Source organism: Homo sapiens, chromosome 6 (genome assembly GCF_000001405.40).
Source record: "Homo sapiens chromosome 6, GRCh38.p14 Primary Assembly".
Lineage (NCBI taxonomy): Eukaryota > Metazoa > Chordata > Mammalia > Primates > Hominidae > Homo > Homo sapiens.
The window spans coordinates 78,210,520-78,227,701 of NC_000006.12; the positions used below are offsets into that span (position 1 = coordinate 78,210,520).

At 34.9% G+C, this 17,182-nt stretch overlaps 1 long non-coding RNA gene across 1 annotated transcript in view, besides 3 other annotated features; it reads right to left on the reverse strand.

Moving 5' to 3' along the window:
• LOC105377865 (uncharacterized) overlaps nucleotides 1–17,182 on the reverse strand; it is a 374,941-nt gene that overhangs the window by 284,639 nt on the left and 73,120 nt on the right. The window lies entirely within an intron of this gene.
• Nucleotides 14,344–14,513: an enhancer, noted in NCBI's record as "experimental_95852 CRE fragment used in MPRA reporter constructs". NCBI's record gives its function as "activates a minimal promoter by MPRAs in K562 erythroleukemia cells, with activity observed for both the introgressed and non-introgressed 6:78934665 variant alleles {active_cell/tissue: K562}" and the evidence as "EXISTENCE:reporter gene assay evidence [ECO:0000049][PMID:34662402]".
• Nucleotides 14,344–14,657: a biological region, named in NCBI's record as "Neanderthal introgressed variant-containing enhancers experimental_95852 and experimental_95858".
• Nucleotides 14,488–14,657: an enhancer, noted in NCBI's record as "experimental_95858 CRE fragment used in MPRA reporter constructs". NCBI's record gives its function as "activates a minimal promoter by MPRAs in K562 erythroleukemia cells, with activity observed for both the introgressed and non-introgressed 6:78934809 variant alleles {active_cell/tissue: K562}" and the evidence as "EXISTENCE:reporter gene assay evidence [ECO:0000049][PMID:34662402]".

Genomic DNA, 17,182 nt, shown 5'->3' on the forward strand with positions numbered 1-17,182 from the left:
AGCAAGCATTACCACCTGAGCTCCACTCAGCATTTTTATTCTCATAGGAGTGCAGACTCTATTGTGAACTGCACATGCGAGGGATCTAGGTTGTGTGCTCCTTATGAGAATCCAATGCCTGATGACTTGAGGGAGAACAGTTTCATCCCCAAACCATCCCCCCGACACCCCACTGTCCATGGAAAAATTGTCTTCCACAAAACCCACCACTGGTGCCAAAAAGATTGGGGACTGCTGCTTTAAAGATTTCTACCAGTACTAGCTCCAATGACCAGCTTCAGCTCCTGAGCTTCTGCTCTCAATGACATGTGATTCTCAGGATCTACCTTTCTCTACAGTTTTGTAGCAGCAGTTTGCTCTATGACCTCAATTCTCTGATGGATTGAGTTATTGATTTTCAGTTTGCTTAGCTTTTTTCTTGTTATCATGATAGGAGTGATGACTTCCAAGCTCTTTACATGACAGTGTAGAAGCTGAGAACTTGCTATACTATATATAATAATACAAATAATGTATATACATACATACTAAATTTAATATAAATATCACTGAAATGGCATCAAATTACTTTCAACCTACCTTTTGTAAATATTTTTCATGTTTCCAAATATATGCACAAAATACGTTAATATTTGCCTAATATCCCATTATATAGATACATCATAATTAGATTAGTCAATCACAAATGTTAGACACATAGCTTGCTGCCAAGTTTGTGTGTGTTTTTTTAATGTGGTAAGAACACATAACATGAAAACTTATCTTTTAACTAATTTTTAAGTGTTCAGTACAATATTTTTAACTACAGGTACAATGTTATGCCGCAGATCTGTAGAAGTTATTCATCTTGTATAACTAAAATGTTGTATCTATTGAGCAGCAATTTTTATTTCCCTCTCCCCTCCAGCCCTTGGCAACCACCATTCTGCTCTATTGTTCTATCTTAGATATTTCACATAAGTGAAATCATGCAGTATTTGCCCTTCTGTGGTTGGCTTATTTCACTTAGCATAATTTCCAGGTTCATCCATGTTGTCCCTTATGTCAGGATTTCCTTCATTTTTAAGGCTGAATTAGTATTCATTGTGTGGATATGTATATGTGTGTATGTTCTTTGCTAAATAATATTTCAGTTTTCATATTTTGACTATTGTGAGTAATATTGCAATGAACATGGGAGTGCAGATGTCTTTGAGACACTGATTTCATTTCTTTTGGATATATATCCAGCAGTGGGGTTACTGGATCCTATGATAGTTATGTTTTTAAAATTTTTGATGAATCTCCATACTATTTTTCATATTTATATTTCCAATTCATATTCTCACCAACAGTGTACCAGCAATCCTTTTTCTCTAAACCATCACCGACGATTGTAATCTCTTGATTTTTTGCAGAATAGTTATTCTAACAGATGTGAGGTGATAGCTCATGGTGGTTTTAACTTTCATTTCCCTAACGATTACTGATGAGCATTTTTTAATATACTTATGGGTCATTTGTACATCTTCTTTGGAAATGTGTCTGTTCAGGTCCTTTGTGAAAAATTATTTTTTGTTTGCTATTGAGTAGTTTTTAAAATATATTTTAGCTATTAATCCTTTATCAGATATATGATTTGCCAATATTTTCTCCCATTCCTTAAGTTACTTTTTCATTTAGTTGATTGTTTCCTTTTAGTTTGATATCATCTCACTTGTCTGTTTTTGCTTTCAATACCTGTGTGTTTGGTTTTATATCCAAAATATTATTGTCGAGACCAATGTCAAGAGCTTTTTTCTTTTTTTTTTTCTAGGATTTTTGTGGTTTCAAGTCTTACATTTAATCCATTTTCAGTGAACTTTTGTGTGTGATATAAGGGTCCAGTTTCATTCTTTTGCATGTGAATATCCAGTTTTCCTAACACCATTTGGTGAAAAGACTACCCTTTTACCATTGTGTATTCTTGGCATCCCTGTTGGAGATCAGTTCACCATATATGTGTGGATTAATTTCTGGGCTCTCTGTTCTACTCCACTGGTCTGTGTGTCTATTTTTATGCCTGCAGTTTACTGTTCTAATTACTGGAGCTTTGTAATCTATTTTGAAATCAGGAAATGTGATGCTTCCAGCTTTGTTCTTTCTTAAGATTACATTGGCTATTCAGAGTCTTTTGTGGTTCCGTGTGAATTTTAGGATTGTCTTTTCTATATCTCTAAAAAATGTCACTGGGAGTTTGAGAGAGATTGTGTTGAACCTGTAGATCACTTCAGATAGTGTGGATATTTTAACAATATGAAATCTTTTAATACATAAACATAAGATTCCTATTTTTGACAATTACATAAATGTGGAAGTGGGGTAAGCATCCTTTGAATCTTTGTGCACATCTATGGTGATTTCCTTGGAATATTTTCAAATATTTCTATGCAAAAGTTAGATTCAATATGTGTGACGCCTTATTGGAAAAACAGGTAAAAGAGAAGGATCCCACTTCCCTCTTCAGCATTGTCTATCTCCTCCTAACTTCCCTCTGGCTAATTCTGTTATCTTTCCCCTTGCTCTCCCATGTGCCCAGTGCCCTCTGGCTCCCATACCCTTGGGTGGAGCTCAGATAACTGTGCCATGTAATGTGTCCTATGTGGGAGTGAGGATTTCTGGCAATAATGTGGAGGATGCTTACTCTCTCCTCCCTTCCTCCTCCTCCACCTAATTCTCATCATCAGCAGAAGAAAGATGTCCAGAAGGTACTGTTGTAGGGAGCAGCTCACAGAAGCCTCAAAATTAGCACAGAAACTCACAGGAGCCTCAAAATCAGCTGAATCAGAAGTCTAGGTGAAGGAAAAACACTGGCATTTTTTTTTCACACCTTGGTGTGTGATGTTTACAGAATAAAACACTTGCACTTTTATGTTTTCACTAATATTAAGAACAAGCTGAGATACATACACCTTTAAAAAGTATAAAAATATCATAATAATAGTAGTTGAAAACCACTTTCTTTTTCCTGTCTTTTCATGTATGTTATTGATTTAAGGGTGCTTAGTTCTTTAAATAGCAAACAATCATTTAACACGAGCCAAGCTGAATGTCATTTTCACATTTAAGCAAAAATAGAGTACTAAAAATATGCACAAACTCTAGTCACAGGAAAGATATTTGGGGTTTTGCTATGTGATAAAAATATAACATATTTGGAAATATATAATTAAACACATAATAGCAAAGATTTATCCCTGGAAGTTAAGATCAAACAAATGACCTTAAATATTTTCAAGCATTATACATTGATTAGTCTGGCTATAAAAATAAACATAATTTTCCTAGATTATAAAAAATGCTTAATAATTTTAAATTTGAGAGGACAAAAAAGATTAGTAAGAGAAACCCTATAAGGAACTGAATACACTCACAAGAGGGAGTAACAGCCAGTGCTTCAGGGCCGAAAGCGATTTCTCCCAGGCATCTTTAGAATATGCATTTGGGAAACCTAGAGGTTTGTATGAAAAACTACATTTAATGGCTTTTCTGTTATTTTCATACATGAAACTAAAGCCTTGCCAGAACCAAGCAACCAGATGACTGTAAACTTGTAGGGTGTCATGCTCTATAGGAGTGCACCTTTTCTTTGCTCATCAGCATATCATTCAGTATTAGGTGCCAGAACATAGAAAGTGAATCTGGAAGGTTTCTGTGTCCACTACGGTGCCCCTTCTCCGTCCTGTGGGAAATACATACTTTGTCCTCATAAACACATATGAAATAATCATATACAGAGCTCTGCTTCTAAGATTTAAGATTAGTCTGGATAAAATCTTTACATTTCATAATAGAACATTTTTATGTTACATTTTTGATTGACATTTATTTTAATACTGAATCCTCTTTATTTCTTACCTCTCAACACCTAGGCTTTCTGATTTAGAAAACTTTTCCATTCCCACTCAGCTGTAAAACTAAAACTAATAACAAAAATGTTGTTAGTCACCTGTTTCTCCCCATCACCAGGAAATGTTTAACACCCTCTCTTTTAAGCATTCACTAAGTGAGAGATGTGAACCCATTCTCTCCTTGATTCTTCTTAAAGAGTTTCAACAGAGAAATCAAACCAATTGCAGGGATTAAGTAAAATAATGAAGTTTTTATGTATGATTTATAAGTATCACAACCATCTTGGGTAGGAGGCATTATCATCACTCTAAGGTTACTGGTTGGATAAGCCAAAAAGTTTTAGTTACTTATCTTTATTCAAACACTTGAATGCTACAGGATTTGATACCTTCATCAACAATACTCAGATCTCTTCTCCAATAGAAAAGCACTTCCCCAAGCTGCCAAATGATTCTAAATATTACATATGAAGCTTTTTTTTGGTTTTGTTTTTAATCGACATATAATAATTACACATATTTATAGGGTATAGTATGATGTTTCTATGCATGTATAAATTGTATAATTAACAAATCAGGGTATTTAGCATATCTATCACCTCAAATATTTAATACTTCCTTGTGGCAAGAATATTGAAAGTCCTTTCTTTTAGTTATTTTGAAATACACCATACTTTTAACTATAGTCACCCTATGGTGCAAGAGAGCAAAATAATGTATTTCTCATATCTAACTGCAATTTTGTAGCCATTGACCAATCTCTTTCCACTCCCATTTCCACGACTCTCCTCAAACAACTCAATAGCAAAAGTAATAATAATCCAATTTTAAAATGTGCAAAAGACCTGAATAGACATTTCTCAAAAGAAGACGTATAAATGCCCAATAAGCATATGAAAAAAATGCTCAACATCACTACTCATCAGGGAAATGCAAATAAAAACCACAATGAGATATCATCTTAACGCAGCTATCCCAGGATCTTTAGATATTATGTACTATGGTACTCTGCCCTACTTACATTCACTGATGGTTGGGAGATAATACAACTTGGTCTAAGACATAGAAGCAGTTTGTACTTCACTTCTAATTCATTCTGTCCCGAAAGAGAAAGTCTTCCTTCTCCAGTTCTCATCCCTATCTCATTATCTCAAAGTAAATAAGAATATACTTTGTCTCCTGGTTGGTTTCAGTCTAAGGTTTAAGATGACTCCTTATCTTACTTTTCTTAGGATGTTTTAATATTTCTTCTAATGTATAATAATAATAATTAGCATTTATGAAGTACTTAGTATAGACTGGTACTGTTTTAAATGCTCTACATATATTAATACACTAAATCCTCACAATAACTCTATTAGGAGAGCAATATAGTAGCACCATTTTATGAGATGAGTAAGCTGGAGGAGCAGAAGTATCACACAGCATGCCCAATATCAACAGTTAATAGTATAAGAACCAGGGTTCAAAGCCAAGCAGTTTAATTTCAGAATTCCTGTTCTTAACCAAACACTCTGTTGCACTGCCATATACACCTCATTCCTTTATCCCAAAGACCTCCCCTCTGTTCCACTCCCAATGTTTTACATATTCTTTTTGTAAGGGACGTATCTCTTACCTTCTTCCTTATTGAAGGCATCTGATGCCTTTAAACAATAATTGAAATATTAAGAGTTTGACACTATTGAGCATGGGAGATAGAGTTGTGATTGCAAGAGCTGACCCCTATATTTCTCAACTTGAACCTGGGGGTCTTAGGTGGGCAGGGTCTTTATGGCAGTATAGTGGTATAAACCAGTCTGCTGCTCCTGTATCCTATACGTTTTATACCAATCTAGAAGTCTCAAGGTGAGAAGTGCTTGCATTCATGCCAATTCAACTGTTTTTTGTCTTCAAGCTTTTTCTTAGAGGTATATGATTCGTTACTACACAGCTAAAAAGCGGAAAAGGTTGGACTCCTCAGCAAATTAATATGCACATATTGGTGCTTGTGTACTAGAATTGGAGGCTTAAAAAGTCTAACATGATAATTTTGGTTTTTCAATTGCTGTTTGCAACCACCCTCTATTCAGCCCCCTCCCTTAATATCTTGAGCAGATTCTATATTTCCATTCACTTATAAAAAGTTGTGTCTAATCCAAAGTAGATTAAAACACCCATTTCCTATCAGATTTAAATATCTTAGGTCTCAGGGTTTTAAAGTGGAGAGAAGAGTAGCTCTTTTTTCCTCCTCCTTGCAGTCTAATGTCTTGGCATATGGAAGAGGTATACAGTTTCTGGGATCTTCCCCCTCACTCCCCATACCCACCTTCCCTTCCAAGGCCTCACTTCTCCCATGCTAGAACTGGAAAAAGAAGTTGGGGAAGCAGATGACATCTTCTGTAATTGGGTACCTGGAAAAGGCAGGCAGTATTTCCTGGCCACTCCTGGCTTGGTCTGGTTCTCTCTGCTGCTGTTTTGTAATTTTTACATGGATTGCATATGTAGTTCATCTTTATCCCGGCACTTTCCATTACGAAGGACACCCTCAGAGAGAGACAATATGATCTTCCTTGAGCCCTACATGTAACACAACTTGGAACCCAACCATGTCCCCTATCTAGTGGGGCCTCACCATGCTTGTCTACTTGGAAAATCCTTATACAAAGTGAAAAATTCCTTCATTTGTTTACTTTATGTGTGAATATTTGATATTGGATTTTCACAAAACAGAACACATCTATACTTTACTTGAAACTGTAATACGTTTTACTGCTAAATTCAATTTTATTAATTCTAAGAGCTGTAAATTTCTTTGTATTCAATGAATTTTAAACGTTGCAGAAAATCTATTACTATTCAAAAAGAAATAGTTTTTCATTTAGGCTTGCTACAAGTGTGTCCATTGTAGCATATGCAGAGAAAATCAGTCTGTAGTTTATTCTGCATTTGTCTATATGACTAAAGTTGAGGTCTCATTACTTGCAGAGCCAACATTCAATAACCTTTCATTTTGAGGGTGAAAGAAGTAAGATACAGCAATGATCTGCCTGTAAGTGCATGTCAACACTACTGCATATGGATAAACACATTTGAATTAGTATATAGGAAGATGGCCACTAAAATGCATTCTATGTCAAGTGGTGATGCATAAGCTTGACTTTTTAAGAAAATTCTACTTGACTGAGCTCACTGTGCCAATTGGATTTCATGGTGTGCCCTGAGTGTCTGTTGGTTTCAGCTTCCTTCTATCCTACATCCCTCTGCATTTTCAGCTCACATTGGTCTGCTATTCTCCTTTCTTGGCACACGATTTATAGCCTTCCCTCTTTCTCCTTTATCAATATTCCTTCCCACTATCTAGTTGTGAGGCTGTACCTCTCTGGCTCTCTCATGTTCCTAGAACATAAGTGAAACTTTGGTTCAAGGCAAACAGGAATGCACAGCATTGTACAACAAAACCCTTGTCTTTCTTGGAATAACCTGAAGTAAATAATTTGTATGAATATCCTACATAAGGAAATAAAACGTAATTCCCCATATGAAGTAAGAAACACATAGGCAAGACTAAATGAAAAATCTTCTTACCCAATTTGAAGAAATGGAATTTATCTGAATGTAATCATGTTCTAGGCTAAAATTATGAGGTGCTATGTGAAATTCCACACAAATGAACTTGGAAATAGATATTGTTTTACTTGGTGTTCTGCCCAGGATTTTGCCAAAATTTCAAAGAATTAACGGAATTTAACTTAATATTATGGCATGGCAGAGTTTAAAGAATGCTTCTCTTTATCCATTCCTATTTCTTTCCCTTCCAGAGGGGAAGACAGATGCAGAGTTACTGAGGATCATCTGAACAGTTTATGTTGGTGTCTCAGAGATATGTTACCTTCCCTACACTCAATCTTACTTCTCTGAATATGTGCTGTAGCGCACCATACTGATGGAAAATGCTCATTTCTCCCAGTTCCCAGAGGCCTTTTTAATTTCCTATCTCACCTTTTAAAAATAGCAAGAAATAAGACCATGATGCAGAACTCTTATTAGATGTTTTTCCAAATGCCTTGGGGTTCAATGATGGTAGTTGGAAGCCTGCCAGTGTAGAAAACTTACACTAGGTTATGTATGTTTGCCAGATACCTTGTGAAATCAGTTACCATTTAAAAGACGTTTTTTACTATGAATTCCTCCTTATCAATTCCCAGGCCTCTGACTTTCCAGACATTTTTCCAATGTCTGCCTTAGAGAACACTATACTGTTTACAACATTTCTATCCCACCTCCTGAACTCGTTTCATCAGACATCTCCTGCCCTAGGCATGACCTTGACATATAAGTGTCTTGTTCAGCCAATAAGTGTTTGACTGCATGGTTTGTATCCACCTCTGTGCCAAGAACTGTCACAAGATCCAAAGAACAACAAAAACAATCATAGAGCTTTCCGTTTATTTTAGATAGGTAAAACGAAAGCTTACAAGCTAATTGGAGAATTATTAAGAACTGAACTATGAGAATGAAGGCAGGTAAATATTACTGAAGAATAAAAGAGTCATCAGTTTATTTGAACACCTTTGAGGAAATTCACAGCTACAATAAGACATGATCTGCAGCCTGAAAGAATAAACAGACTGGTGAATGAGGAAACAGGAATGGGCATTCCAGATAGGGAGGCAAGCATGAGCTCAGTGGTTGAAATAATCTCTGAGTCTCATGGGAGTCCAACATACATATTAGTGCACAGGGAAGTAAGTGTGGAGGACAGGCAGAGTGCCCTGATCATGAAGGGTTATGTACTAGACGGTGGCATTTGGCACAAATGATTTTAAATAATTACTGCAATAGCCATATTCTTTTGGTCTCTCTCTCTCTCTGCAAAGCCAGGAAAGTTTCTTTGGTTTTAAAGATTCATGTGATTAGATTGTGCCTACCTAAATAATCCACAGGAATCCCCCCATCTCAAGATCCATAACCATAGTTATATCTGCAAAGTATCTTTTTCCACGAAAGGCAGTATAGCCATAGGTTTCATGCATTAATGTATGGACATCACCATAGGCCATTATTCTGACCATCACAAATTGTCCTCTAAAAATTTATTGAATCTCTGCATTTGCTTGTATTCCCCTCCTATTCTCCTGTGTAATGTATATACTTTTATATTATTTTATGATCATTTTACTGTGGTTCTGTGAGGAAAAGAAGCTAAATGAATGAGCTTAGTTTGGCATCTTGAATCAGAAGACTTTCCCCAGGAGTTTCTTTTGTTCATTATTTGAAAACCATTGTCATATAGTCTTGAGTAGGGAAATGACACAATAAAACTTTTTATTTTTAAAATACATTTTTAAAATTATCTAACATGTTCATCATTTTTATTGTTCTCGTATATCTTTATCATTTTAAAGTATTCTATACATGTTCAAATGCTGACACTCTTTTTTGTATTTGTGTGTGTGTGTGTGTGTATTTATATGTATGTGTCTATATGTGTATATTTCTATGGGGAGATTTTATGTTAAAGTGGTATCAGTTATTTTGCTAGAGAAAAAAAAACTTTCTTTCCAAATAACTTTCAAATTGAGGAAGAAATATGATTTGTCATAAAATATTTAGTCTAACCTTACAGTTTAATTATTTTAAATTTTTTAAAAGTTCTCATTGCATATTAAATTTCTCATTAGGAATGATGTATTTTCTGTAGTTCAGTAAAACTTCAAAATACTCTACATACCAAAAACTATTATCTCCCAAACTGTATTCCACAAAATTCTATATTCTTGTGTGAAGTGAGTAGCTCTTAGGAAAAAAAGCCATTCTGTGAGCAAATAATTTGGGAAAATGATTAATTGTACTACCTTTCTCTCTTAAATATTTTTAAAGTATATTAAGATAAATTATACAGCAAAACGAACATTTTTAAACCTTTGGTCAGCCCCAAATATTCTACATATATTTGATCATGTTTCTTTTTTTTTTTTTTTAATTTGAGGATTATCCCTTAACAGCTCATGGGAAACTATAGCTCAGAAACAGTTTGAAAGTGCTATTGTAGCCCATATCTCTAATCATTTTGTGCTAAATATTTTGGCTTTATTATACACAAATGTAATAAAGGGAATGATTACCCAGACAGTGTTACAATGAAAGGGAATTAGAACACGTGCTCCGAGGCATGCAGTCAAGCCCTCTGCTGTCCTTCCTCTGGTTCCCTCACTAGCTGACATTAGTGGGTTGTCATCGCTTTCCTGAGTCGTGCATCTGAGAGCTCAGCATGGACTTCTGCAAGTTTGTTGAGATTACTCTATGGCCAACAGCCCATTTCCCCTATTCATTCTGCTCTTCTCTTCTAAGGATGCTAACACAGTGTTAAGATATAAGACACATCAGGAGAAAGAATGTAGTAGGGCACAAAATGCTTTCTTCAGCTCAACTCTCATCTGTAGACATCACTTCATTTGACTCAGTGAGAATACACATTATCCTCTCTCCCAAGTGACCTTGTGAAGAGGGTTCAAAGTCAGTTTAGTAGGTATTTATTTGCACCTCTCCTTCTTTCAGAAAATACTTCAAGATATTTTCAAAAATGTGTAAATTGTAACAATATGTTAACATGTTAATCTAACCTACATACTTACCATTCTTAGGCCCTTATTTTGTGCTATATTTTCCAGAGACCAAGTGCAAACAAGGAATCTTTGTCAGTTAACAAGTGTCACAATATCCACTGGATTAAAAAATATATATATCAATTGCTTAAGAGAATTACAACTATTCTTTGTACTAGAATCAGGCACAATTTTATCTGGGGGCTTTGTAAAGAGAGCTCTTTGATGTTTAGTCAACAGCATTCTACAAACTCAAAAAATTCCATAGAGATGTTTTGCATAACATTGTCAATAAAAATTGATGTCTTCTCACCTAAGCATAATTTAGTAATAATAATAATAATAGTGTGTGGGTTTTGGTAACAATAATAATTTGTGTGTGTGTGTGTGTGTGTGTAGGGGCATAGCTTTAACTTAATACTAATTAGGTGGTCAGCTCTTGGCTGACCTTGAAGAGAGTTGAATTCTCAGCACCCAACCCATTGCCCTGAATGTAGCAAATGCCAATAAATCTTGGTTGAAAGTGATAATTATTCTTCAAAGGGAGCACATAGGAAAATATGTATGTGAATGGTTTTTCTATAGAGCTCACACAATTATTTTGTTCTACAAACTACAGCTGTCCTGAAGCCTAGACCTGTGAGAATGGAAGAAAAGTATGTCTGGTGGCCAAGTTATGAGATGAAAGATTGCTCCTCAGTTTGGGCCAGCCCATATTTAATAATTGCAGTTTCCAAAGCACAAAGTTAATTTTTAAAATATATCTCTAAAATATATCTCTAAGATGGGTCTTCAGATTTACCCATCTCCCAAGTTTAATTCTGTTTATTGCTGATAGATGTAATATTCCTACATGGTAGGAACTCATACATAAAGAAACTGAGATTCAGAATAGTTAAGCGTATTGATGTAATTCATTAAGCTAGCAAGTGGCAGAGGTGGAACTTGAACCCAACTCTGTCTTACTTCACATTTCATGATTATAATCTACTGTTTTGTGCTGAAAAAGAGCCTGTAGGGCTTGAACTTTACGTTTTCCCTTACAAAGAAAGAGCAGGAAAGGACACTGCAGACAGAAGGAGCCATTAAAACTTCACAGTCAATAATTCTGGAAATTCAGATATTTTAAGTCTGCTCTGATGCTCCAGGGGTCTCAAACCTTATTTCAGCTGTCATGTGAGTTGACCTTTCTCAATGCCAGCTTTTGTGTCATGCTTCAAGGACAACAAGTCTGATGTACCTTTTGAATCCCAGGGACACTGACTTTCACAGGAAGTAGCTACGTCTTTTCATTTATTTTGTGTGCTCTTGAGTGGTATTTAAGTTGACAGCCAAGTCCTCAGTCTTCTTCTCAAGGGATTATAGGTGTTGAACTACTTTCATCTTTCGCTGTGCATTTTCTTTAACTGATAAAGGATCAAGAAGTATGTGAATCCTCCTCTCTCCCCAGTCATCCCCTAGCATTCTCGGTGACATGTTAGTTGGAAAATCACACTCCCACAGTGGTGGTTAGATAATTGAAATTCATTCCAGCAGGGAGAAAATAAGTTCTGGAGGCTTATTTCTTTGCAGATTCTTTATTAGGATTTTGAAACTGCATCTTCACTAGTCAAATTGCAGAGAATTAGAGGAGGGGAATGGGGACCCCTGGAATTTTCCAAAGTGAGATGAATACAACCAAATTCTGTACTTCTGAGATGGCCTGCATACACTACACATATCCCTCTGGTATGGTGTTCTTTAGATGTTCTTTTTGATGCCAAGCCCTCCTGCAAAGCATCTTTAGCAAACACTATTTGAGGTTTAGATGTATTGTGTTCATATTAATGTGAGCGCTTATGGAACATTCTTTTTTTTTTTTTTTTTTTGTACTCTAAGCAGGCTGACAACCACATTACCCTCTTCTTCACTGTTTCCTACATAATTATGTCAGGCACACATTTTAACAGGATGTATTTGTCAATGAAGATGATCTATCTCTTTTTTTTTGTAAGAAAGCTGGCTTAAAAGAATATGATCTCTTCTGACAAACATAAGGCTAACATTAGCTGGAAAGAGAATGTCTCATTTTAAAGTCTGATTTTCTGATTCCTTGAATATAGTAAACATAGAATTAAGTCTACACTCACAATGTTAAAAGAATTTGAGAAATATGAAAGGTATAAAGACATTGTTAATATTCTTTGTGTCTGCATATGATGGCCCTGGGACAGTAAAGGGATCATAAAAAGAAAGAAAATAGGTAAAAGAGGTCTGCAGTATAAACTGGTAAGTTTGTAAAATCTATGAGGTACATGTTAAGTATCAGTTTCTATTCCTCATAATTTTTAGCTATAACTAAGATTCATAAAAGAATGATAAATGACATGTAATAGGAGATGGATTTTAATAAAGAGAAAATGTTTGTAGCACCAGGGGTATAAATAAAGTTAATATAGAATAATAGCGTATTTATATATAAGGCAAGATGTAATGGAAGGGACTAATAAATGAAGTCTTTCTGATATTTGGATTACTTCACAGGCTTATGTTTGCAAAATTAGAAACCAAGAATCTGATTGATTCAAATATATTATAGTAAGATTCAGACATTATCCAGAAAAAAAATTCTCATAAATCTGCATTAACTTTTTATCCTTGACTTTTATATCATATATAGTTAACTGGGTTGCTAAAATTCCATGACATCACTGAGAAAGTGGCAAGGCAATCAGAACTTTTTAAGTGTACATGCCTGACATTCAATTAAAAAATTAACAGGCATATTAAGAAACAAGGTAAAGAGAAAAATCAGATAATAGAAATAGTAATTAGTTTAGATAATCCAAATATTGCATTTACTAGATATGGACTTTGAGTGAACTATGATTAATATGTTTAAGAAAACACATACTAAACTGAAGTAACTGGCCAGAGAACTGAAAAACATAAAGCAGAATAAAGTAGAAAACCTAAAACTTATAAAGGCATTGGCAGAAAATTAAAAATCAATGTAATGATTTATTACAGTTGATAAGACACAGCCGAAAAATAAGAATTAGTGAACTGAAAGATACGTCACTAGAAAATATTCAGACTGATGTGTAGAAAGTAAAATAATGGAAAGTATATAAAAGGAATAAAGTATATACGAGGCACAGTGAGAAGGCCTGACACACATGTAGATAGAATTCTGAGACATATACACACACACAGAAAGAGAGAGAGTGTGTGTGTGTTTTGAGGAAGATATTATTTGAAGAGACAGTGAATGTAAATTTTTCAAAATGAACAGAAAAAAATAGATCAGAGATTCAAGAACTGTTGTGAACCCCTAGCAGGATAAATAGTAAAATGTTAAAAAAAAAAAAAACTTTTAAAGATAATATCTTATAAACTACACTTAATAACAACAGATCAGCCAAAAACGACTACTGTCAGCAGAAGAAATGGAAGCTGTTAAACTGTACACCTTTAACATGTCAAAAGAAAATCACCGTCAACCTAAAATGATATGCCCTGTGAAACTGTCTTTCAAAAAATAAGGCAATCAAAAACAGAAAAAAATTAACTGACAAAGTGATTTTTCAGTAGAAAGAAAATAATGTTAATTGAATCTCAGAATTATAGAAAAATGGAGAATAATAGGAAGTTTAACTATGTGAGTAAATGGAAGAGATAATTCACTGTTTACAGAATAATAATAAAACTTGCAGACAAATATATATGTAGAATAAAAATGCATGGTAACAATGGCATAAAAGATGAGAGGAGAATAAATGGAGTTTAAAGTTTGAAGGTCCAAAAATTGTCAGAAAATGGAAAAATGCTAATTTACATTTAATATTAATAAGTTAATGATGGATATTATAATTGGTAGGATAATACCAAGAGAACAAAAAAAGAATACTTAACTAAAAAGATAAAATAATAATGAATAGAATAATAAAACATACTTGAAGACCACTGGTTCCAGCAACAATGGAATAACTAGTATCAGACTCATCCTTCCACTATAAACTACTATTACAGCTATAAAAGAAATATTTAAAAAAATGTTTTCAGTAAAAGGATAGCAAACATGAGGCTATAAAAATTTTTAAATTTGTATACATTTAAGAAGCACATGTGCAGTTTGGTTACACAGATATATTGTGTAGTGATAAAGTCTGGGCTTTTAGTACATCCATCACCCAAATAGTGTACATGGTACTGTTGAGTAATTTCTCATCCCTCATTCCCCTTCTACTCGCTCACCTTTCAGAGTCTCCAAAGTCTATCATTCCACACTCAGTGTTTATGTCTGCACATGATTTACTTCCCACTTATAAGTGAGAATATGTGGTATTTGACTTTAAGCTTTTGAGTTATTTCACTTAACTTAATGACCTCCAGTTCCATCCATGTTGCTTCAAAAGATGTGATTTCTTTCTCATTTATGGTCTATATATATAGTCTGTATATGGTCTATATATATATATATATATATATAAACATTTTATTTATCTAATAATCTGTTGATGGACACTTAAGTGTTCTCTATCTTTGTTATTGTGAACACTGCAGCAAGAAACACATAAGTGCAGGTTTTCTTTTTACATAATGGTTTCTTTTCCACTGGGTAGATACACAGTAGTGGGACTGCTGTATGGAATGGCAGTTATATTTTTAGTTTTTTGAGAACTCTCTATACCGTTTTACACAGAGGTTGTACTAATTTACATTCCTGCAATATATAAGAGTTCCCCTTTCTCTGCATTCTCACCAATATTTGTTATTCTTTTACTTTAGTAATACCCATTCTGACTGGAATAAAATAAATCTCATTGTGGTTTTAATTTTCATTTCCCTGATGATTAGTGATGTTGAGCATTTTTTTCATATGTCTGTTGGACATTTATATGTCTTCTTCTAAAAACGTCTATTCATGTCCTTTGCCTACTTTCTAATGGGATTATTTTTTCTTGAGTTCTTTGTAAATTCTGGATATTAATTCCCTGTCAGATGAACTGTTTGCAAATATTTTCTCTCATTCTTCCAGTTGTCTGTTTTCTTTGGCTGTGCAGAAGCTTTTTCATTTAATTAAATTTCTTTTGCTGTGCAGAAGCTTTTTAGTTTAATTAAATTCGATTTGCCTATTTTTGTTTTTGTTGCTTGTGCTTTTGAGGTCTTGTTAATGCATTATTGGCCTAGACCAATATCTGTAAGTTTTCTTTAGGTGTTCTTCTAGTATTTTTAGAGTTGAGGGTCTCATATTTAAGTATTTAATCAATGAGTTCTTTTTTATTATTATACTTTAAGTTTTAGGGTACATGTGCACAATGTGCAGGTTAGTTACATATGTATACATGTGCCATGCTGGTGTACTGCACCCATTAACTCGTCATTTAGCATTAGGTATATCTCCTAATGCTATCCCTCCCCCCTCCCCCCACCCCACAACAGTCCCCGGAGTGTGATGTTCCCCTTCCTGTGTCCATGTGTTCTCATTGTTCAATTCCCACCTATGAGTGAGAATACGTGGTGTTTGGTTTTTTGTTCTTGCGATAGTTTACTGAGAATGATGATTTCCAATTTCATCCATGTCCCTATAAAGGACATGAACTCATCATTTTTTATGGCTGCATAGTATTCCATGGTGTATATGTGCCACATTTTCTTAATCCAGTCTATCATTTTTGGACATTTGGGTTGGGAAAAGACCAAATCTACGTCTGATTGGTGTACCTGAAAGTGAGGGGAGAATGGAACCAAGTTGGAAAACACTCTGCAGGATATTATCCAGGAGAACTTCTCCAATCTAGCAAGGCAGGCCAACATTCAGATTCAGGAAATAAAGAGAATGCCACAAAGATACTCCTCGAGAAGAGCAACTCCAAGACACATAATTGTCAGTTCACCAAAGTTGAAATGAAGGAAAAAAATGTTAAGGGCAGCCAGAGAGAAAGGTCGGGTTACTCACAAAGGGAAGCCCATCAGACTAACAGCGGATCTCTCAGCAGAAACTCTACAAACCAGAAGAGAGTGGGGGCCAATATTCAACATTCTTAAAGAAAAGAATTTTGAACCCAGAATTTCATATCCAGCCAAACTAAGCTTCATAAGTGAAGGAGAAATAAAATCCTTTACAGACAAGCAAATGCTGAGAGATTTTGTCACCACCATGCCTGCCCTAAAAGAGCTCCTGAAGGAAGCACTAAACATGGAAAGGAACAAGCGGTACCAGCCACTGCAAAATCATGTGAAATTGTAAAGACCATCAAGACTAGGAGGAAACTGCATCAACTAACGAGCAAAATAACCAGCTAGCATCATAATGACAGGATCAAATTCACACATAACAATATTAACTTTAAATGTAAATGGACTAAATGCTCCAATTAAAAGACACAGACTGGCAAATTGGATAAAGACTCAAGACCCATCAGTGTGCTGTATTCAGGAAACCCATCTCACATGCAGAGACACACATAGGCTCAAAATAAAAGGATGGAGGAAGACCTACCAAGCAAATGGAAAACAAAAAAAAGGCAGGGGTTGCAAACCTAGTATCAGATAAAACAGACTTTAAACCAACAAAGATCAAAAGAGACAAAGAAGGCCATTACATAATGGTAAAGGGATCAATTCAACAAGAAGAGCTAACTATCCTAAATATATATGCACCCAATACAGGAGCACCCAGATTCATAAAGCAAGTCCTGAGTGACATACAAAGAGACTTAGACTCCCACACAATAATAATGG